Raw genomic sequence first — 22,358 nt, forward strand, 5'->3', positions numbered from 1 at the left:
GTATTCTGCATAGTAAAGAGGTGTGCTGTGTGGATGGCTGCTAGTACAGTCCCTGGCACAGTCAAACCTCAACACATTAGATGTTTCTGTTATTATTATTTTACTTCTTTGTATCACCCCAGAGATTTTTATTTTCTTCAAAGATTGAACATGGCAACTGACAGGAGCTTAATGGATACTCGTTACATTTTATTGCAGTGATATTGTACCTACTAAATTAAATGGTGGACCAGAGAGCCAGTGTGGCATGATGAAAAGCAGAGTCTCCGGAGATGTGATACTTGGGTCCACATGCTGGCACCACCACTTGAGGCAGATGACCTGGCCTCGGGGGTCTCTGTTTCCTTGTCTGTAATGCCTACTTCATAGTTTTGTTATGAGAATGAAGTGGATTAATACTTCCGTGGTGCTTCACACTGTGCCTGGAACATAGTAAGCCTGACGTAGGTATCTTAAATAGAGATATCACCAAATAGAGTTGGGGAGAAGTTTACCTAGGGAAAAAGTTTTCAAAGTCGTACCAAGAAGACTGGTGCTATTTTACTGATTTGAGAGACCAGGTCCCCCTTTTTGGTAATACCATTTGCATATAAGCATCTAGTATGCTAATTCCATCGACTCTCATCTCTTTTTCAAAACAGACGCAGCAGGATCTCTGGCAGGATTTGACTAATGACTGACCTTAAAGTACATACCTTTAAGTAAAATACAAATATTTTTAATTCAAACCCTCCGCTCCTTTAGGGCTGTGGATGCTGTGATATAACACCCTGACCTCTCTTCAGGACTTTTGGGAGTCCTGCCACCTGTCAGCGCTCTCTGAAATCTGCCCTCAGCTGGAGAGAGCTCTTGGGGCAACCAAATCCAATGACTGGTTGACATGGAGAATGGAGGCCCATCTGCCTCACCCCAACTTGGGGCAGCTCTGCAGGTCATCCGGGCCCAGAGTTCCCCATGGGGTCAGCTAAGGCCTTTGATGAGACTGCAGGACATTCCAGCATCTCCTTTTGTCCAATCCTGTTTTTCTCCCTTCTCTTCCACAGATGTTGATCCTGGGTACACTCTCTAGTTAGTATCCTGCACACTCATCTCTATCTCAGAGTCCACTCCAGGGAGCTCTGCCTGCACCGCCAGTTGCAGCAACACCAGCAAATTCACTCGTTTTTACTAATTCTGATTTGACCTCTAATTTACAATTACCTGGATTGCATCCATAACTAAGATGACCATACAGACTGGTTTGCCTGGGACAATCCTCTTGTGACTTTCATTACCAAGAGATTTAATTATTATTAATAGCAATGCTTTTTACTTTTAAAATATCCACAGTTTGAACAATAAATTATATAGCCACCCTACCTATATAAACAGCCCTAATGTTCCCAGGCCTCACTGCCAGCATGAAAAAATAGTACATTGATGTAGTGTAAATTTCCTGAGCTTAGAGCTCCCACTAAATATAACTCCAGAACCTCAGCCCCCTTGCAAGAGCTCTCCACACTGACCCTACCCTGCTTTCTCCCCAGAACACCTGAGCGACCATCTGGAGCCCACACATCCTCAACAGATCACACTGCTGCTTGGCCACTGCTCTCCACCCTCTTCTGAGGCTGCTGCTTATACCACAGTGTTGATGGCCTCCTCTCTGCTCCCCAGAGCAGATGCTCCCACCAACACTGCTGCTCTTGGGCATCAGATAGGTTCTGCGAGCTTCACCATTGTCAGAAGGCCCAGATGGCTCCGGGAGGTCCCATGGATGCTCAGCCCAAACCAGGTTTTGAGTCTTTATTTCGGTTGTAGCTTGATATATCTATACACCCCACCTCCGTACAGTAAATGAAAAAATCATCCCTTTGCATAGACATTCTTCTCTCTGGATCCCACAGCAGAGTGGTGGGCTCTATATGGGTGCAGTTGGGCTCATTTTATCTACAAAGCTCTTTTCCACTGAGGGCCACACATAGGCCATCAAGGTGGCTGGATCAGGTTAGGGTTTAATAGCCTCCAAACTATACCTGGAATCCCTATTCCTGCCTAACCCTATGGTTCAAATTATTTTTTCCAGGAGTTTTCTCACACTCCATGCAAGTGAGTTGGCGCAGATAGACGTGCGGAAATTGGAATCTAACTCCACATAAACCAGTTATGTATACGGGAAGTCCTTATTTTGCATAGTAATGCAAGACCATAAAAATGACTGTGTAAGCTGAAACCCTGCAAAGCAATCTTAATCGAAGGGAATAATTACAGTTGTTCTGTGACCTTTAAACATTTTTGTCAAAACATTAAACATTCTCTTACTGTTGTTTATAAATGCATGGGGAAATGAAAAATTAACAAAACTAATATTTATTTATTACACTGTAATTTAAAACATTAGAAACATTGAGAATTAAGGTGTTTTATTTCTTTGTAAAGAACATATCAAAAGTAGTTTGCACAGTTCTTGCCTTTCTCCCCTTACTGTATAGCTTATGATACAGCTGGAGCAACTTTTCTATGCCTTGGTGAATTGTCGTACTTTGTTGTAAGTGTAGTCTAGTTCTAAGTCAGGTCCTAATGTTTTATCCTTTGCTCTTGCAATGTTACAAAATATCTATAAGAATTCCTTGAAGGTGAAGTTTTTTGCCAGTGCCACTTCCACTGGCACATCTTCATTTTCTTGGAATCTGGATGCAGATTTCCCAGCTGCATGCTTACATGTGCTAGCAGCTTCATCACTAGCTTGACATCAATCAATTCATGCTAAATTCTGGAATGAGGAAACAAGCCTTTACTGGCAGTAAAATATTCTTCTTCAGTATCCTTGTAATTACCATTTTCTTTCAATGTGGCAACTAAGATCAATGCTTTGGCCAGGATGCAAGCCAAACTACTTCGGATTTTGAAATATTACAGTCTTCAATCCAAAGTAGAAAACTCTCCAAGCATAAGCAGCTTTCTGGTCCTATTGCAATTTAAACTAAGAGATGAAGCAACGTTACCTTGCTTTTAATACACATTGGATTTTTCCAGTGCAGTTTGTTCCATAGCTCCATGCAGGCCATGGTGCATCCAGTCTTTGCTCTGCTCTTGCCAATTTCACATCTTCAATCTAATCACATCCAGTTTACTGCCGGCATTATCACTTTTTGTTTCTTTGTTGCATTTTTATTTTTGTTAGCTTACCCTCTATCCAGTGATCCATTTTTTGTAAAATTTTCATCACATGGATTTATCACTGGAAGACAAGGAGGCAACACAACTTCACATTTTGCTGTCTGGGCATGAACTGAGTAACAGATATGCAATGACTAATCAAGGACAGGCTTTGAAAGAAGTGATGTGATTGGTTCATCATGATGTGCATCTGTTGTTTATATCATGATTTGCGGACTGGCAAGCAGGCAGTGAAGTTTGTACTTTATGCAATTATAGTTAATATATACTGTGGTGACTGAAATTTGAACTAGTTTTTGGGAACGGGTATTATTTCGCTAAACTGAAACTTGTGCACATCAGTGCCATAAAAAGCAAGGACTGCTTATTAATGTGTACCAACCAAATACTTTTGGGCACATTCACAGCACAGCACTTCCTCCTCCTTGTGGTTGGACGGTTCCACGTGACCAGTCTAGCCAATGGATTGTGAGCAGAAGTTACATGTGTCAGTTCCGTGCCAAACCATTTGATGGACAGTCAGTCGTGTCCTAGCCCCTGAGGATATCGGAGGAGGTGGCTGCTCTGTTAGCCTAAGTCTCTGAGCAACAAAGGTGAGCAGAGGCCCCCTGCTGAGATATGATGGACATGTAGCATAAGCAAGAAGTAAACCTTTGTTTTAAGCCACTGAGATCTTGGGGTTATTTGTTTCTGTAGCATAGCAACTCGTTATGATTGATATAAAATATCATCAGGAGGTAATCTAGGAAAAGGAGGATAGGGAGCTGGGCAGAATTTAGAACTCAGAAATTGGCAGCTGATAGTAAAAGGGCTCCAAATTTGTAGGGGTAGGAGGAGAGGAAGAATCAGGGGCATGTACTTAAAAAATCTTTATATGATAAAAAAAAAATTAGCACAGACACAGAAAATAAATGTATAGCTTAATAAATTATTAAAAAATGAAGGTTATCCATTTATGGATTAATAGATTAATGGACTATCATGGGAGTGGGACTCGTGGTTTATAAGAAGAGGAAGAGAGACCTGAGCTAGCACTCAGCCCCCTTGCCATGCAATGCTCTGTACCAGTTTAGGACTCTGCAGAAAGTGCCTACCATCAAGAATGTCTCTCGCCAGACGTGGTAACTTGACCTTGAACTTCTCAGCCTCCATAACTGTAAGAAATAAATTCCTTTTCTTTGTAAATTACCCGGTTTCAGGTATTCTTTTATAAGCAATAGAAAATGAGACTGTTTCCTCACCCCTCCCTCTTTGCCCTCAAGAGGCGACCACTTACTTGCCTCTTATGGAAACACCCTCCTTCCTTTCCTCATGCCATTATCAGTCCACATGTGCATCCTTCAACATTGTGGTTTAGTTTTACTTTTTAAATATTTTAAAGTCTCTTTTAATGTACAGACTTCCCCTTTACCACACTCCTTTCCCCTTGTGAATGTATGTGTTACAAGAACTAGATCATTGGTAGAGTTTCCCACAGCATAGATTTTGCCACTTGTACCCCCACGGTGCCATTGATGTGTTCCTCTGGCCCCTGTATTTCCTGTAAATTGCTAGTTGGATCTATAGGCTTGATCCAATGTGGGTTTGATTATTTTTGGCAAGACAACGTCATAGGTGGTGGTGCCTTTGTTCTCCAGAAAGTGTAATCATCTTTAAAATAATTATTATTTTAATAATAACCATAGGTGTTCATTTATTTGGGGTTACAGAATGGCAAAATTCCAATTTGAAATGTCTCCTGTTCCACTCTGGTTACCAATGATGCAGTTCAAATGGGACCATCAGGGTAAATGCTTGATTTTTTTGTTTGTTTGTTTCTTCAGAATTCAAAGCTTTGTCACATACATGTACTAGTTGCTAAGATCTGAATGTGGCAAAACTGTTGTAAAGGTCAACCTGGCCTCGATTGGCCCAGCCTTCTCTCCCCAGGTCCTTTGACCTCCTGAGAGATCATTCCAGGCCCTGTGAATCTCAGTTTTTCTTCCCATCTCCCCACCCCGTCAGAGCCCACCTTCATGGAGGGAAGGTCCTCATGCTCACTCACCTTAGGAGGTAAATTGTGGGCATTGTCCACTCTAGGGAATGTGGATTTTAAGGCCTCTCTCTCAAATATTGTCTCACTTAGTCCCTGTGGAGTTCAAAACAGGTAGCTTCAAGCCCAAACTCACCTTGCAATGTTTTGTTTTGGCCATCACAGAGTGTTTTCACTTGTTGTTTGTTTTGCTTTTAAGTGGAGCAAGACTGCATTTAGGCAGGGGCATATTCTCTGCAGTTAGATCAGAGCCCACCGCCTCCCCTTGCATTGTACCCGCCCTGTGTTCTGAGTCCCTTTGTGTTGCAGAACCTTGTAGGTAGGTGTTATTAGCCCATTTTTCAGGTGAATGGACAAGAACTGGAGAATTGATGTGGGGGACCTAGGTGAGGCACAAATGGAAATGGAACAGCCACTGAGTGCTCTGGGAAGGAGACCACAAGCCAAAGGAGAGAGTCCACACTGGGAAGACCCAGCTACAGGGCCCTCTCCATCCAGCCTGGTGCAAACTAAAACCCACATTCTTTTTTCTTCCCTTTTACAGAGACAGCTCAAGGAAGCATGATAAAATGAGGCCTAAGATAATATTTGAGGGGAAAGTTTATTTTTTTATGGTCTGTTTGCATTACACCATCGGGTGAAGAGAGGAGGAGAAAGACTTGTCCCAAATGGCAGAGCTGGAGAAGCACAAATCCAATGTCAATAGTTGGAAATACAAGTGTGTGGTTTCATTAAACTTCTTTTTTTAAAAAAAACTTTGTTCTTCCTTTTCCTGAGGCAGTCCAAGGGAAGGGGACACAGAGGTGGAAACAGACAGGGAGAGAGGAGGGAGCAAGCCAGGGCCAGCGAAGGGGGCTTGTCTTAAGGAACCTGCTCCCGCTGTGAGTGTCCTCAGCCAGCCCAGGAGGCTGGCAGGCCTGATCAGAAGCAGCCAGCCAGAGCCTTCCGCTGATTCCAATGACGGCTGCTAAGCAGGGGCAGGCAAGTCAGAGTTTCAGCATTTGTCCAACAGCTTTTTTTGAAAGGATTTTTTTTTGTTTTTGAAAACCTGAGTGAAAATGAACAAATAATCAAATCCAGGTCACCCTGAGGAAAATGATTTGACTTCTGTGTTCTCCTGTGGCCCCATTTGGCCATAGCTGGCCCCTTCCCCTTCCCCCTACTACCACGCTGGCCCTTGGCTGCCCCAAGGCAGAGACCATGTCTGCAGAGCCAGGAGAGGTAGGTTAAGAATGCAGGCTCTAGTCAGACAGCCTGGGGGTTCAAGTTAAAATATTAGCTCTGGCACTTATTAAATAGGCCACCTTGGACATCTTCTTTGTGCCTCAGTTTCCCCATTTTAAAATGGAGATGTGATAATACCTCATGGTCTGCTGAAAGAATTCAATGGAAAAAGTGCTTACTACAGTGCCTAGCATGTAGTTTTCAGCAAGTATTTGCTGTTATTCTATTATTTTTAGAGCCTTTTCTGTCTCCCTTCCTTTGTCTTTCCATTACATGCCACTCCTTAGCAGTCCCACTGGATTTGTCCAAATAGATAAACTCACTCAAAGAAATAAAAATAGGTGTTATCTTGCAAGGTATTTTGCACACTGTCCACTCAGACCTTCTCTCTCAAGCAGTTTCTGCACAGCTCTGTGGATACCACATCCTTCCCTCATCAACATGCCCTAGTTCTTGTGGCACAATCTGCATGGATTGCCCTCTCTATTCATTTCCACCCACCCAAATCTAGTTCAAGGCCCACTTTGCAACAGAACGTTGGATCAATCTGGGAATGGCTTGATTCAGGGTCTTGCCTAAAGTCACTAGGATCTGGTTTCATCTCTTGGTTTTGCTTTCTCCATGTTGGCTCCACTCACAGACTCTACACACCTGGTGGCAAGAGGTTTGCAGGCAAAATGGGCTGCAGATTCAAGCCCAGTGAGAAAGATAACTTGCCTCTTTCCTAATAGCCCCAGCAGACATACCAGGTGTTCCTTGGCTATGATTGGGTCACAGACCCATCCCTGGACCAATCTTATGGCTCGGGGATAGGGAAGGAGTGTTGTGCTTCCACCTGCAGTTCATGGGCTGATGAGGAGGAAGGAGTGCTTCCTAGAAAGAAATCAGGATAGTTTCCAAAATAAGGGAGAAAGCGGAGCCCAATGGAAGCAAATGTTCACCATACACACAGCCTTTCCAATATCGATCTCCAACGATTCCAGCCTGTTCTCTTCTCTGGATTCCTGACCTGATACATCATGATGTCATTCATCTTGGCAATGTGTTTTCTACCCATTTGTTGAGAATAAGTCTCACTATATCCCCTACTTTGCGAACTGCTTTTATCTAAAGATTGTTCCTGTGTCCTTCACTTGGCAATGAAGCATGCCCTGCCTTCTTGAATGGCACTGTCATCTCTCTTACTGATATTGTATTTCCCATATATACATGTCTTACCTTTCTCACATATTGTAAATTCCTCCTGGGCAAGAAACAAGAATACTTCTTGCCTAGCACCTTGTATATAAGTGCTTGGTTATATTTTGTTGATTTACTGAGAATTTAATATTTCTTTTCTTATACCTTCCCTTGGTTAAATGCCTAGTAGGTACTAAATAACATTTTTGGAACCATAAAATCTAGAAGGAGCACTGAATTTGGACAGACTCTTATAATCTAATGCAGCTCCCTCTTTTATTGGGGTTAAAACAGCCTAGAGTAATGAAGTGAGTATATAAGCAAGTTAGAAAGACTAAAAACCAAGATCCTTTGGATCATAGTTATCACTTTGTATTTGTTGATTGACTGATTGTCAATTCAGTCCCTTTTCCACTGAACCTCTTTGTAAGATCAGGAACAAGGCAGGGATGCCTACTGCTGCCACTTCAATTCAACATAGTACTGGAAATCCTAGCCAGAGCATTAGGCAAGAAAAAGAAATAAAAAGCATCCAAATTGTAAAGAAGTAAAATTATCTTTGTTCACAGGTGTCATGGTCTTACATGTGGAAAACCCTAAAGATTCTGCACCAAAAAAACCTGTTAGGATTAATAAACAAATTCAGCAAAGTTGCAGGATATAAAATGAGTATACAAAAATTAGTTGCATTTTAATGCACTAACAACAAACAATCCAACAGTAAAATAAGAAAAAAATCTCATTTACAATTGCCTCAAAAAGAATAAAATACTTAGGGATAAGCTTAAAGATTTGTACAGTGAAAAGTATAAAATATTCCTGAAAGAAATTAAAGTGACACAAATAAATGCAAAGACATCTTTCATAGATTAAAAGAGTGGTCCCCAACCTTTTTGGCACAAGGGACCGGTTTTGTGGAGGACAGTTTTTCCAAGGACTGAGGTGGGGGTGTAGAGATGGTCTCAGGATGAAATGGTTCCACCTCAGATCATCAGGCATTAGATTCTTGTAAGGAGCATGCAACCTAGATCTCTCCCATGTACAGTTCACAATAGGGTTCACGCTGCTATAAGAATCTAATGCCACCGCTGATCTGACAAGAGGCGGAGCTCAGGCAGTAATATTTGCTCGCCTGCCGCTCACCTCCTACAGATCTCTAGATCTCACTCACTCTCTAGACCCACCCACCTCCTACAGATCTCTAGATCTGTGTGGCCAGGTTCCTAACAGACCAAGAACCAGTACTGGTCCACAGCCCAGGGATTGGGAACCCTTGAGTTAAAAGACTTAATATTGTTAACATGTGCATATAATCCAAAATGATCTACAGATTTAATATAATCCTTCTCAAAATCCAAATGCCATTTTTTGCAGATATAGCAAAAACAATCCTAAAATTTATGGAACTAAAAAGGACCCTGAATAGCTAAAACAATCTTGAGGAAGAAGAACAAACCTGGAAGCCTCACACTTCTTGACTTCAAAACATATTCCAAGCTACAGTAATTAAAACAGTATGGTAATGGCATAAGGTCAGACATGTATAGACCAATGGAACAGAAGAGAGAGCCTCAAAATATACCTATGCATAGACAGTCAAATGACCTTTACCTAAAGTACCAAGACTACACATTGGAGCAAGGATAGTCTTCTCAATAAATGGTGCTGGGAAAACTGGAAAACCACATGCAAAAGAATGAAATTGGACCTTTATCTTACACCATACACAAAAATTAACTCAAAATAGATTAAAGATCTAAACATAAGTTATGTGAAACTATAAAACTCCTAGAAGAAAACATAAGGGAAAACCTTCACGGCATTAGATTTGGCAATGATTTCTTGGCTATGACACCAAAAACAGACAACAAAAGCAAAAATAGACAAGTGGACCAACATCAAATGAAAAAGTTTCTGCACAGCAAAGGTAACAATCAATAGAGTGAAAAGGCAACCTATGGAATGAGAGAAAATATTTTCAAACCATATAACTGATAAGGGCTTAATAAGCAAAATATATTTTTTAAAAACTCCTACAACTCAATAACCACACAACAAAAGTAAAAATAACTTGATTAAAAAGCAGGCAAAGGACTTCAATAGAGTTTTCTCCAAAGAAGATATACAAATGGCCAATAAGTATATGAAAAGATGCCAACATCACTAATCACTGGGGAAATGCAAGTCAAAACCACAATGAGTATTGTACCTGTTAGGATGGCCATTGTCAAAAAAATAAATAAATAAATAACAAGTGCTGGTGAGAATATGGAGAAATTAGAACCCTTGTGCTCTGTTAGTGGGGATGTAAAATGGTGCAGTGGCTGTGGAAAATTGTATGAAGGTTCCTCAAAAAATTAACAACAGAATTATCACATGATGCAGCTGATATAGTTTGGCTCTGTGTCTTCACCCAAATCCCATGCTGAACTATGATCTTCCGTGTTGGAGGAGGGGTCTGGTGGGAGGTGAACGGATCGTGGGGTTGGTATCTAATGCTTTAGCAGCATTCCCCTCGTGCTGTCTTGTGGTAGACTTCTCATGAGACCTGGTTGTTTAAAGGTGTGTAGTGCTTCTCTCCCTTCACTCTCTTCCTCCTGTTGCCATGTGAAGATGTGCTTGCTCCTTCTTCGCCTTCTGCCATGATTGTAAGTTTGCTGAGGCTTCCCCAGCCATGCCTCCCGTACAGCCTGCAGAACTGCGAGTCCATTAAACCTCTTTTCTTTTCTTTCTTTCTTTTTTTTTTTTTGAGACAGAGTCTCGCTCTGTTGCCCAGGCTGGAATGCAGTGGCGTGATCTCGGCTCACTGTAACCTCCACCTCCAGGGTTCAAGCGATTCTCCTGCCTCAGCCTCCTGAGTAGCTGGGATTACAGGTGCACGCCACAATGCCCAGCAAATTTTTTGTATTTTTAGTAGAGACGGAGTTTCATCATGTTGGTCAGGCTGGTCTCAATCTCCTGACCTCGTGATCCGCCCACCTTGGCCTCCCAAAGTGCTGGGATTATAGGCATGAGCCACCATGCCTGGCCTAAACCTCTTTTCATTATTAACTACCCAGTCTCAGGTAGTTCTTTAGAGTAGTGTGACAATGAACTAATACAGCAGCAATCCTTGTTCTGGGTATTTATCCAAAAGAATTGAAATCATAATCTCAAAGAGATATTTGTACTCCCATGTTCATTGCAGCATTATTCACAGTAGCCAGAGATTCCTGCTCCCATGAGAACCTAATGCTGCTGCTGGTCTGACAGGAGGCAGAGCTCAAGCAGTAATGCTCGCTCACCTGCTGCTCACCTCCTACTGTGCAACCTGGTTCCTAACAGGCCACAGAGAGTACTGGTCTGCAGCCCAGGGACAACCGAAATGTCCATTAACAGATGAATGGATAAAGAAAATGTGGTCATACAAGCAGTGGAATAGTATTCTGTCTTAAAAAAGGAAGGAAATCCTGTCATATGCTACAACATGAATGAAGCTTGAGGACATTATGCTAAGTGAAATCAGCAAGTTGCAGAATGGCAAATACTTCATGATTCCACTTGTATGAGGAATCTGAAGTACTCAAACTCTTGGAAACAGAAAGTAGCTGTCAGGGGTTGGAGACGGGAAAAGCGGGGAGTCTCTGTTCAGTGGGTACAAAGTTTAAGTCATGCAGGATGAAAAAGTTCTAGAGATCTGTATTACTATATAACACTGTGCATTTGGTTAACAATAATGCACTTAAAAATTTAAGAAGGTAGATTTCATGTTATATATTTTTGTACCACAATAAACAAATAAGTTACTAATGGCCTAAAAAAAGTTGATTGAAGAAGGGACCTTACATCTACTGGTGTCATTTAGGGTCATCAGGCATGTGGAGTCAGGAATATTTTGGGTCAAGGAATTGATCCCAAGCTCCCCTAATCACACATGGACTAAAGAGTGGGCTTCATATTCTAACAGCTGAAATGATTTTGCATCTGGGTCCAAACATCACTAGAACTCCAGTCTGCCAGCCCGCAGCCTGTGGGCTGGGGGCCTAGAGTGCAGACCAGCTGAGCCCAGCACAGGAGGCAAGCACAGCCCTTAAACAAACAAAACAAACAAAGGAAACCCCTATCCAGACATTCATTCTTCAGGTAACAGAGATTAAGGCAGGGCAGGTTCTTAACAGGTGAATGAAATAAACCCACAAAATAAGAGGCATACCAAGAAGGTGTTAAACCAGTTTGGACACTTCATCCAGAGCCTTTGCCACTACCTGCGATGACAGCCCAGCAGGGCTCCTTTATCCACAGGTAGCTCCATGCCAGGCCAAACACTCCTCTTTGGGACCTGGCCAGGTGCTTGGTCCCACTCTAATCCACACTGAGCTCACAGAGAGCCCCAAGGTGAGACCTGCCTAAACGGGTTCCCGGGCCAGCCAGAGGGTCCTCAGGGACACTGCTCAGCCCTCACCCCAGGGAGATGGGGACCCAAACGTCTCTCCAGTTCTCCTCAGTCCTCTTTACAGTGAACCAGATGGAGGTAAAGACCAGATGGAGGGGAAACCAAGGAGCCAGAGCCAGGGCAGGGGCTGGCGATCAGTCAACACAGCCCCTCTCTCCCGGGAAATCTCCAACAGACACCTGCCACTCACCACCCCTGCCACTCACCACCCCTGCCTTCCACTGTGGGGCCTTTGGCTTGTGGGGGCCGGCAGGGACAAAAAAAATATATGGAACAGTTGACAGGATACTGTCAGGAGACCTCGGATCTGATCCTTGCTTTGCCATTTTCTAGCTGCATGACCCCAGGCAACCTCTGCAGGCCCAGCTGCCCTAACCTTAGCAGGGCGTCAGGTTCGACGAGATTCCCCCCCTGTTCCAAGTGAGTTGATGGTTGACTCTGATGCCATGCTATCACCTGTGCCAACTAAATATCCACAGATTACATCTCTAGGACATTCGGGTTCTTTGGCGCATGATGCAGGCCAAATCTCCACCCTGGCTTGTGCTATGGAGACACAGGGCAGTGCCTCCCAACAGTGAAGGGCACCGCTCTGGAGCCAAACTGCTATATTCTTATGCCAGTGCTGCCCCCTTTCCATGCCTCGGTCTCCCCATCTGAAAAATGGAGATAAACCCCATCTCATAGAGCTGTTATGAGGATTCAATGAGATGAGTTAGACAAAAACTCTCAACAGTGCTGGCACTTGGGAAGTGCACTGTAAGGGCGGGCTGTTAGTACCGTTAGTGTGGTGGCTCCTGACGACTTCACCTCCAGGAAAGTTGAGCCTCGCAGGGAAACTGGGGCTGGGAAAAGGTGGCCTTGGATGTTCTCCTTCACTCTGGCAGGAGAAAATTGGCCTTGTGGCCTGGAGATTGGACCTCCCTCCCACCCCCGGCTGCAGGGGGTGGTTGGGAACATGCTGTTGACACTGACCAGCCACACCCCATGTCTGCATGGTGCAGCCTGGCAGGCCGGATGTGGCCTCCTTTCCCAGAGGGCTCGAGCCAGATGCAGCTCGATTACCGTGGAGTGCATTTCAGGCATTGTCGCTATTATCAGCTTCTCACTTTCAGCTGCTGGATCAGGGGCAGGAGCCTTCCCTTCCTCCCTCTGCCCCATTGCTGGGTGTTTGTTTTCACTGCAGGTGCAGATGTGAACGTCTCCCGTCCTGGAGAAGAGCCTGCTCAGACCCACCCCAGACATTTCCCCACATCTTCTAAATTGGACTCCAACTCTCACCTCCCAGTTCCAATCCAGAATGAATTTGTCCTGAGTGAGAGCTGGGAGGTGAGGAAGGGGCTTGGTCACAACTGTCCAGTCCTTGCTACCAGCAGATTGAGGTCTCTGAAGAAAAGAGTCTTTGCTGTGGTGATGACTAACACACCAGGAAAGATAAAAGAGAGGGAGAGGAAAATGACAAAGAAGGACAAAACAAAGATTTCTGCTAAAGCTATAAACATTAGCTTTCCCAAATTTGCCATTGTCGTCCTACTCCTTTACTCATGCGGCACCCCCTGCCCTTTCCCCATCCTCCCCGAAGCACCCTCCCCTCCTCATGGCACCTCCCCTAATGGACTGTAAATTCTCTCCCTTCCACACCTAGGTTAGTAAAAATTACTTTTGTCAGATTAATTCCTTAGAGGATGTGGGGGTGGATGGGTGCATACAATTTTGGCTTTGAACAAACAAACAAACAAACAAACAATTCTTTCATCAAAGTGCTCCAAAGAGAAGTTCTTCCAGGAGAAGGGGACAGTTTGACAGATGGTCCCATATCTTCCCCAGGTTTCTGTCTCCATTGGCACTGCCCTGTTGTTCTCACTGCCACCAAGTCACCTTGTCTGCCTTGTTCTCTTGCCCAGGTGTGGGCTGTGCCCGCCAGCCCACTTTGTGGAGCTCAGACAGGCTGGAATTCTCCAAGAATAACCTCACAGGAAATCAACGAAATGAACAAAGAGAATACGAACAGCTGAACAACAGACGTGCTTACTGAATGCAGGTACCTAATCCTAAAACAACCAAAGTCTCGCCACCATGGCTGGCCAGGTCTGGGTTCCTCCCCGCCTACTCCTAGACCCCACCAGAAAAGACCCTCCCAAGTAAAGCTTTTTGATATCCCCCACCCCCTGCAGCCCCCAGCCCAGAAGTTGGTAAAAGAAAGGATAGGTGGTGTGCATAGCGCAACAAACAGCTGGCGTTGGGTCTGAGTCAAGGTCCAAGGGTGGGTGGGGAGCAGAACCCTGCTCCTGGGAATCCTCCCCCTGCCAAAACTTGGGAGTTTTACTAACCTGGGTACGGTAGCGGGGAAGCCACCCTCACCCCCCAACTTGGTGTGATTTTTGGAGAAGCGAACCCAGCGAGGGGATGGGGGTGGTGAAGCCAGGCTTGGAGCTGAAGCTGAGGTCTAAAGTTTGGGGGCAGGTGCCTGCCTCCAGTTCTGCCTCTGTCACTCTGGCCCCCTCTTCTCTGGGCCTCAGTTTCCCTGTTGGTAAAAGGAGGAAGTTTGAGTAGGTGATCTTTGAAGTCTTTTTCACCTCTAGCATTTTCCAGTTTTTCAATTCTGTCTCTTTGACCACCAGTTCCTACAAGTTAGAAAACTCCAGTCCACCCAGATAGGTCTCAGTAAAGATGTAAACTCCCAACACAAGAGTGACAGCTAACCTTCCTGCATGTTGACCAGGTGACAGAAACCACTATAGCTACTTTATCTGTGTTGGCTCATTTCCTCCTCACAGGAGCCCAAGCCTCGTATCCCCATTTCACAGATGAGAAACTGTAGCAGAAAGAGGTTAAGACATGTACCAACATCCCAGGTGGTAAGATAAAGGACGAGGCCTCAGGCAGTGTGCTCCAGAGGCTGTGCTCTGACCCCCCAACCCAGACTACACTTCTTCTTCATAGATGAGTGACTATAACGCCTCTAATAGACACAACAAGCCAAAGGTGCAAACAACCCAGATGTCCATCAACAGACAAATGGTTAAACAAAACTTTCAGTGGAATATTATTCAGCCTTAAAAAGGAATGAAGTTCTGATCCATGCTACAACATGGGTGAACCTTGAAAACATTATAACTTTATATGCTTTTAACATTATAAGCTTTAAAATATTATAAGGCTAAGTTAAACATGCCCAGCCACAAAGGACCAACACTGTATGATTCTACTTACATGAAATATCTAAAATGGACCAATTTATACAGACAGAGAATAGATTACAGGTTATCAGGTGCAGGGGAGAAGGAGGGATGGGGGAGTAATTGAAAGAGAGTTGCTGTTTGGGATGATGAAAAAGGTCTAGAAATGGATGGTGGTGATGGTTGTACAACAGTACGAATGTACTTAATGCCACTGAATTGTATACTCAAAAATGGTTGAAATGGTAAATGCTGTGCTACATTAAAAACAAATTTTGGCCGGGCACAGTGGCTCAAAAGTTGTAATCCCAACACTTTGGGAGGCCAAGGTGGGCGGATCACCTGAGGTCGGGAGTTGGAGACCAGCCTGACCAACATGGTGAAATCCCGTCTCTACTAAAAAAATACAAAATTAGCCTGGTGTGGTGGCACATGCCTGTAATCCCAGCTACTTGGGAGGCTGAGAGAGGAGAATAGCTTGAACCCGGGAGGCGGATGTTGCGGTGACCCAAGATTGAGCCATTGCCCTCCAACCTGGGCAACAAGAGCCAAACTCCATCTCAATAAATACATAAATATTAAAAATATCATAATAAAATAGATCTCACTTACTGAGCTGCTGTTAAGACCCTACTGTGCTCAGTGACTTACAGGCTCTGCCTCGTGTAACCTTTACAGCCACCCTGTGAAGGAAGCTCCCCTGTCATGCCACCCACTTCACAGGCAAGACGGCCAAGGCTCAGGGAACAGATTCCCTCAGGACCCATGGGTAGTGAGCGGCAGAGGGGACACATACACCCAGGTAATGCTGAGAGCAAACTCAGAGAGGAAGGTAGAGGACGATCTGAGAAGGCTACGAACAAGCTGAGACGAACCAGGGCGTGGGGCCCATACCCTACCTGTGCCTGCCAGGTGCCAAATTCCACATTTATCTTTTCTCACATTTCTCCCTGTATTCGTTTTGTGTTTTCTTCCCTGTTTTACATCCAAGCAACACCTTTCTGCCTCATTCCTCCACTGATATCACTGCCTCTGCCTTGTGTGCTCAAGACACCTCCCATTCGCCATCCCCCCAACCCCCCGCCGCCACAGCATGGCAGGACAGCCTGTTGGGTTTTGGGGGCGGGAGGGAGCATAGGCCTGTGAAGCCTCATTCTATGCTGAGGGGGAAAGAGGCCCAGATCTCCACTACAGGGGACGAGAAGCGAGCAGCTCCTCCCACACCCCCACTGAGGAGACTCCCAAGGCTAGGGGCAGCTGGCTGATGGTTGAGTGTCCCCAGGAGAACCTCAGGGAGACTGGCTGGGTGACTCCATGGGATGCCAGGCCCTGGTGCGTTACTAGTTTCGCCCAGTCTTGGCTGACCCCCTATGTGAGCAGTGTCAGGGCAGTGAGTTTCCTTTGCCCCTTAACTTTTTCTGTTTAGAAAAAAAAAGTGCAGCTCGCTGCAAGCCTCATTTAATTTTACATAAACATGCTCTTTGAGGCTGAAGCAAATAGACTGATTTTCAATGCGAAAATGAAATATAAAAACTGTTCTTGGAGTCATTTCTAAACACAACTAACCCTGGAATCATCTGTTTCAGAAAACTCAGATTCATCAAATGAATCTTTGGCCAAAAATTGTCCAAGAACGATATTAACATCACTCATAAGAATGCTACGTTTTCAAGGATTTGACATTTTCAGCAATCGAGAATTGCTATACATTGTGAATGGAAATACCACTACTAAAAACAGAATGCTACAAATAGAATGATGGCTTTTGTTGCCAAAGTCGACAACAATAATAACAGCGAGATATTCTGTGGCAAAGTTATCTTGGGGTAAACGTTGCAGCTGCAAGCGCTGCCGGCAAGTATTCTCAGGGCAAACAGGAAAAGGGTTAAATAACTGAGAAGTGCCTGTTCCCACCGAGGCACGTGACATTTTGCATGCAGGTCACCCAGAAAAGCCAAGCACATCTACACACAGACTGCCTCACTCATGTTCAGTTTGTAGCCCCCACCTAAGGCATTAGCCTGGCCCCGAAGGGCCTTAGAAACTCCTCACATGAAAAAGCTCAGGCAAAACTGTCAGATGACAAAGGCTGTGATTGTGGGGGCTGGAGGGGATTTTTGTATGTCTACGACTTGCTCTCCCCACCTGGCATCCCCCGAGACATTTCTGCGGCATTCTGTTCCCCCTGCACCCTGCAGCCTGTGACCCAGATGTCTGCGGATGAGCTGTGACTCCCCTCAGCTGGGATAAATGCCTAGTTTATCCCAAGAAGGGTGACCACTTCCAGATGATAGATTTCAAACGTAGGCTTCCATGCCCTCAGTAGAGTCACTATTGCCTAACAGAGAGGACTCTGGTGTCCAGCTTCTGGGGTCTGACTCCTGACTCTATCACTGAGCAGCCCATGGATCTTGAGCAAAGCTGTGGCTGAATTTTCCTCATTTATAAACTAGAGCTGATGATATTACCTACCTTGTATATTTAAGAGAATTAAATGGGATGAAGCATATAAAGTATTTAAACCAGTGCCTGGCACAAAGGTCCTATTTAATCTATATTGGCTATCATAATGGCAGACAGACATTGTTAGTCAGTCAGCCTCAGCCCCAGATTCCTTCTCAATATAAGTAGCAAAGTAAAGCATCCAGGCTAGAAGATGTCTAACTTTGCTTTCAGCTTGAGAATTTTCTGACTGGTAGTATCGTTCCCTTCTCCCTGAGCTGGGACTCCTCTATTCCACCCGTCTCCTATTATGCTAATGCAAGAACAACTACCCTGCATCCACCCCCAACACGCACTTTAGATCCAAAATTGGTCCCCGGTTTTCCCATGCATAATTTTAAACAACTTTATTAAGATAGAATTCGCATACTATAAAATTTATCCATTTAAACTGTAAAATTCAGTGCCTTTAGTATATTCAGAGATGTGCAGCAATCACCACAATCAACTTTAGAATATTCTCCTACCCACCCCCCAAAAACCTTATACCCCTTAGCCATCACCCATCAATCTCTCCATTTCCCCACTCCCACCCCACCCCCTGGAAAACATGAATCTACTTTTTGTCTACAGATTTGTCTCATCTGGGCATTTCATTTAAATGGAATTATATAATATGTGGTCCTTTGTGACTGGCTTATTCACTTGGCATTGTTTTCAAGGTCCATCCGTATTGTAGCATGTATCAGTACTTTGCTTCTTTTTATTGCTAACTTCAATTCCACCGTACAAATATAGCAATTTCATTTATCAGTTAATAGGTTGGTGGACATTTGGATTGTCTCCACTTTTTGACTATTATAAATAATGCTGCTATGGACATTAATGTAGAAGTTTTGTGTGGATGTATGTTTTCATTTCTCTTGGGTTGATGCCAAGGAGTGGAATTGTTGGGTCATGTGGTAGCTCTATGTTTAACCATTTGAGGAATTGGTAGAATGTTTTCCAAACCAGCTGTACCATTTTAAATTCCACTGGCAGCATATGAGGGCTTCATTTCTCTACATCTTTGCCGACACTTTTATTAGCTGGGTTTTTGATTATAGCTATTCTAGCAAGTATGAAATAGTATCTCATTTCCCTGATGGCTAATGATGTTGAACATCTTTTTATATGCTTATTGGTCATTTGTATATCCTCATCAGAGAAATGTCTATTCAAATCCTTTGCTTTTTTTTTTTTTCTTTTGAGACAGGGTCTTGCTCTGTCACCCAGGCTGGAGTGCAGTGGTGTGAACATGGCACACTGCAGCCTCAACCTCTGGGGCTCAAGTGATCCTCCTGCCTTAGCCTCCCAAGTAGCTTGAACCACAGGCACATGCCACCATGCCTGGCTAATTTTATTTTTTTTAACTTTTAGTAGAGATGAGGTCTCACCATGGTGCCCAGGCTGGTCTCAAATTCTTGAGTTCAAGTGATCCTCCTGCCTTGGCTTCCAAAGTGCTTGGATTACAGGTATGAGTCACCACACTGGGCCCTGTTCTCACTTTTTGATTGGGTTATTTGTGTTTTTATTATTGAGTTGTAAGAGTTCTTTGTATATTTTAGATACAAGTCCCTTATTAGGTAGATGATTTGCAAAAATTTTCTCCCATTCTGTGTGTTGTCTTTTTACTTTCTTGATTGTATCCTTTGAAGCATAAAACTTTTTAATTTTGATGGCATGCTGAATAACTTTTGTATTTGATATGAGAAGCAGAGGCAAAAATATCATGATTTGTAGATGACATGACTGTATATCCTGAAAACCCAAGAGAACCTATTGAAAAACTGTTGAAAACAAGAGAATTCGGTAATAAATCCGGTTATTAAATTAATATACAGTAAACAATAGCCTTTATAGAAATAAATATGTAACAGAAGATATAGTAGAAGAAAAGGCCCTATTTTCAATAGCAAAAATAGTATAAAATACATGAAAATAACTTAAAAATTTCAAGAAATATGTGAAGGAAACTTTAAAATACTCCTGGGGACGCAAAAGGAGCTTGAAAAGAATAAAAGGTATATTATATTGTTAGATATGGAGATTCCACATCATGAAAATTTCAATTTTCTATTCAGTTATTTTATAAATAATGTAAATCTAATATGATTGCAATAAAGACACCTATAGGACCTTTTTCATGGAACTAGAACAGCTGATTGTAAAGTTCATATTAAAAAATAAACAAACAAGTATAGCCATAAAAACCGGGGAAAAAAGGGTAGTGGGCAAGCTTTGGAGTGAAAATCAAGAAACCAGGGCTCTAGGCCCAGCTCCGCCCTAACAAATGGAAGGACGATTCATCATTTCTATTGGGACTGCAGTTTCCTCATCAGCAAAGTAAAATATCCATGTTAGACAATGTCAAACCTTGCCTTCAACTCTAGAATTTTCTGATTGATTCTGTTACAAGACTGCGAGTTCAAATACTCCAGACTTGGCCAGTGCCACGTCCACTCTAAATAAGTCAGGACAGCTTAGCTTGGCAAGGCAACTAAGAGAATGCTTGGCCGTGTAGATGAGCTTCTGGGACACCAGGGAGGCCCTTTGCCAATAAGCAGGCTTAGCCTTATTCCCATTCTGTTTCTGGCATTGCTCTATGGGGTTTAGATGGTTGATTTGACCTGGCCTCTCTCTCCATTTCCTGCCCACTGAAGAAGTAAGCAATGTATTTGGGTCTTGATGCAGTTCCTCTGAGATCCTTTCTTAGAAGCCAATATGAATAAGAGAGGGGAGAAGAACAGGGGAGCACAGAGACTCCACCAAGGGAGGGTGAGCCACCCAGGGGAAAAGAGAAAATGGAGGCACAGAAAACCAACACTGCAGATCTCTTAGTCCCAGAGAGACTGATATAGTTTGGCTGTGTCCCCACCCAAATCTCATCTTGAATTGTAGCTCCCATCATTCCCACATGTGGTGGGAGGGACCCCGTGGGAGATAACTGAATCACGGAGGCAGCTTCCCACAGACTGTTCTCATGGTAGTGAATAAGTCTCACAAGATCTGATGGTTTTATAGGGGGAAACCCCTTTTGCTTGGCTCTCATTCTCTCTTGTCTGCCGCCATGTAAGATGTGCCTTTCACCTTCTGCTGTGATCGTCAGGCCTCCCTAGCCACGTGAAACTGTGAGTCCATTAAACTTCTTTTTCTTTATAAATTACCCAGTTTAGGGTATGTCTTTATCAGCAGCATGAAAATGTACTAATACAGAGTCCATTCCAAGAGGATTACCCCCATTTAGCCTGATATTGGAAACATACACTTAAGCAGAGAACCCAGATAAAGGTCAAAACCTAAACTTAAAGTGAAATTAAATAAATTAATACCTTTATATAAAAAAGAACACATGCATCATCAACTAAGTATTTGTTGCTTTGAACACAGTAGAATAATTTGCACAAGAAGAAAAGGAAAACTATCTTCTCTACCCAGACAGGAAGGACTTTTTAGGGAAAGGAAGCTGTAAAAGAATTCCTTGAAGGAACAAGAAGATAATACTTGACAAAGCTTGCTAGGATTTGCTTTCTCCAAAATCCAGAGAAGACATAGGAGAGAGCGATGAGAGTGTGACAAGAGAGCAAATAAAAAGTTGAAGCTTCACTTGAAGATAGGGAGGAGCCGAGGAACTGGGGAAGAAATACTAGCCACCATGGCCAAGCACAGTGAAAGGTTCTGTAAGTGTACTGACATAAAGTAGGTTAGACAACTCTTTTTTTCCTCTGGGAGTGGGACAATTCCCTAATACCAGGGCCCTGCAGGGAGTTTTGGAGGTGACATTCTGGGGACTGGCATAATTCCCTATGATATCATTGCAGGACATCTAGGGAGCTGGGGGTCTGATCACCTCCCAGCATTCTTTACCTAACCTCGGAAATGTTCATGCTATTATACTGCTAGTGGCCGAGCAATGACTTGAATTTAGGTCAACTCAAGTAATTGCTAAACTTCTACCATGAGTCCAGGTTCATGCTAAGGACTCCCGTAAACAGAAAAGAAGCCAGAGTATGGTCCTTGCTGTTTAAGGAGTTTACAGCTGGAAAAAATTATAATTCCATATTGGAAAAATGATGATTTGTAAAATTCACCCAAGTCTAGCATTCAATGTAAAAATGGGTAGAATAGTGAGTGAAGCAGGAGTTCAAAGGGTCAGAGGACTGAGTGGCCAGGGCAGACTTTACAGAGAAGGTGGAACTTGACCCTGCTCCACGTCTCTGACAGGAAGGCCTGTCTTCCTTCCCGTCTGCCCCCAGGCATGCAAGGACCAAGCCAGGGTCAAGGAGTGGAAGAGCAGCTTATCCTCCAGAAGCCTAGAGGTGAGGCTCTAAGTGGGAACTTTCTCCTGGCCTATCTTTTTCAGTGCTGTTTGTTTGGCAAGGGAACAGATTTTCCTGTTACAACAGCCAAAAAACAGAAAATAAATCAAGGAAAGAGTGGCAAGGACCAGCCTGGAAATGAAGTTAAAATATCTAGGCTTGCTGAAGACAACCACAAAATGGTTTTCTCCTCAAAGTGGCTGCACAGCTTAGAGGGACGGCAGATCAGACTGCTCTAATGGATCTAGGGACATATTCTTCTCCCTGACAACTCCACCCACACCTCTTCCCACCCTATTTCCTCCAAAAGCCTTTTGCAGATGGTGCCTCTTAGTTCCCAGAACCAGTCTGGA

General features: G+C 43.7%; 2 long non-coding RNA genes across 2 annotated transcripts in view, besides 2 other annotated features; one reads left to right on the forward strand and one right to left on the reverse strand.

Annotated features, from left to right (window-relative positions):
• The window catches only part of LINC01121 (long intergenic non-protein coding RNA 1121), an 80,601-nt gene that overhangs the window by 33,007 nt on the left and 25,236 nt on the right, over positions 1-22,358 (reverse strand). The gene's annotated exons all lie outside the window — the stretch shown is intronic.
• Positions 75-4,326, forward strand: LOC105374576 (uncharacterized). The gene is made up of 3 exons (XR_940041.2): positions 75-443; positions 1,527-1,774; positions 2,066-4,326. It is a non-coding gene; the product is annotated as an uncharacterized LOC105374576 (long non-coding RNA).
• Positions 11,638-12,566: an enhancer, noted in NCBI's record as "H3K4me1 hESC enhancer chr2:45446124-45447052 (GRCh37/hg19 assembly coordinates)". NCBI's record gives its function as "activates a minimal SCP1, AML or CMV promoter by ChIP-STARR-seq in naive H9 embryonic stem cells {active_cell/tissue: H9 hESC(naive)}" and the evidence as "EXISTENCE:reporter gene assay evidence [ECO:0000049][PMID:30033119]".
• Positions 12,567-13,493: an enhancer, noted in NCBI's record as "H3K4me1 hESC enhancer chr2:45447053-45447979 (GRCh37/hg19 assembly coordinates)". NCBI's record gives its function as "activates a minimal SCP1, AML or CMV promoter by ChIP-STARR-seq in naive H9 embryonic stem cells {active_cell/tissue: H9 hESC(naive)}" and the evidence as "EXISTENCE:reporter gene assay evidence [ECO:0000049][PMID:30033119]".

The sequence above is a fragment of the Homo sapiens genome, chromosome 2 (genome assembly GCF_000001405.40).
Source record: "Homo sapiens chromosome 2, GRCh38.p14 Primary Assembly".
Taxonomy (NCBI): Eukaryota; Metazoa; Chordata; class Mammalia; order Primates; family Hominidae; genus Homo; species Homo sapiens.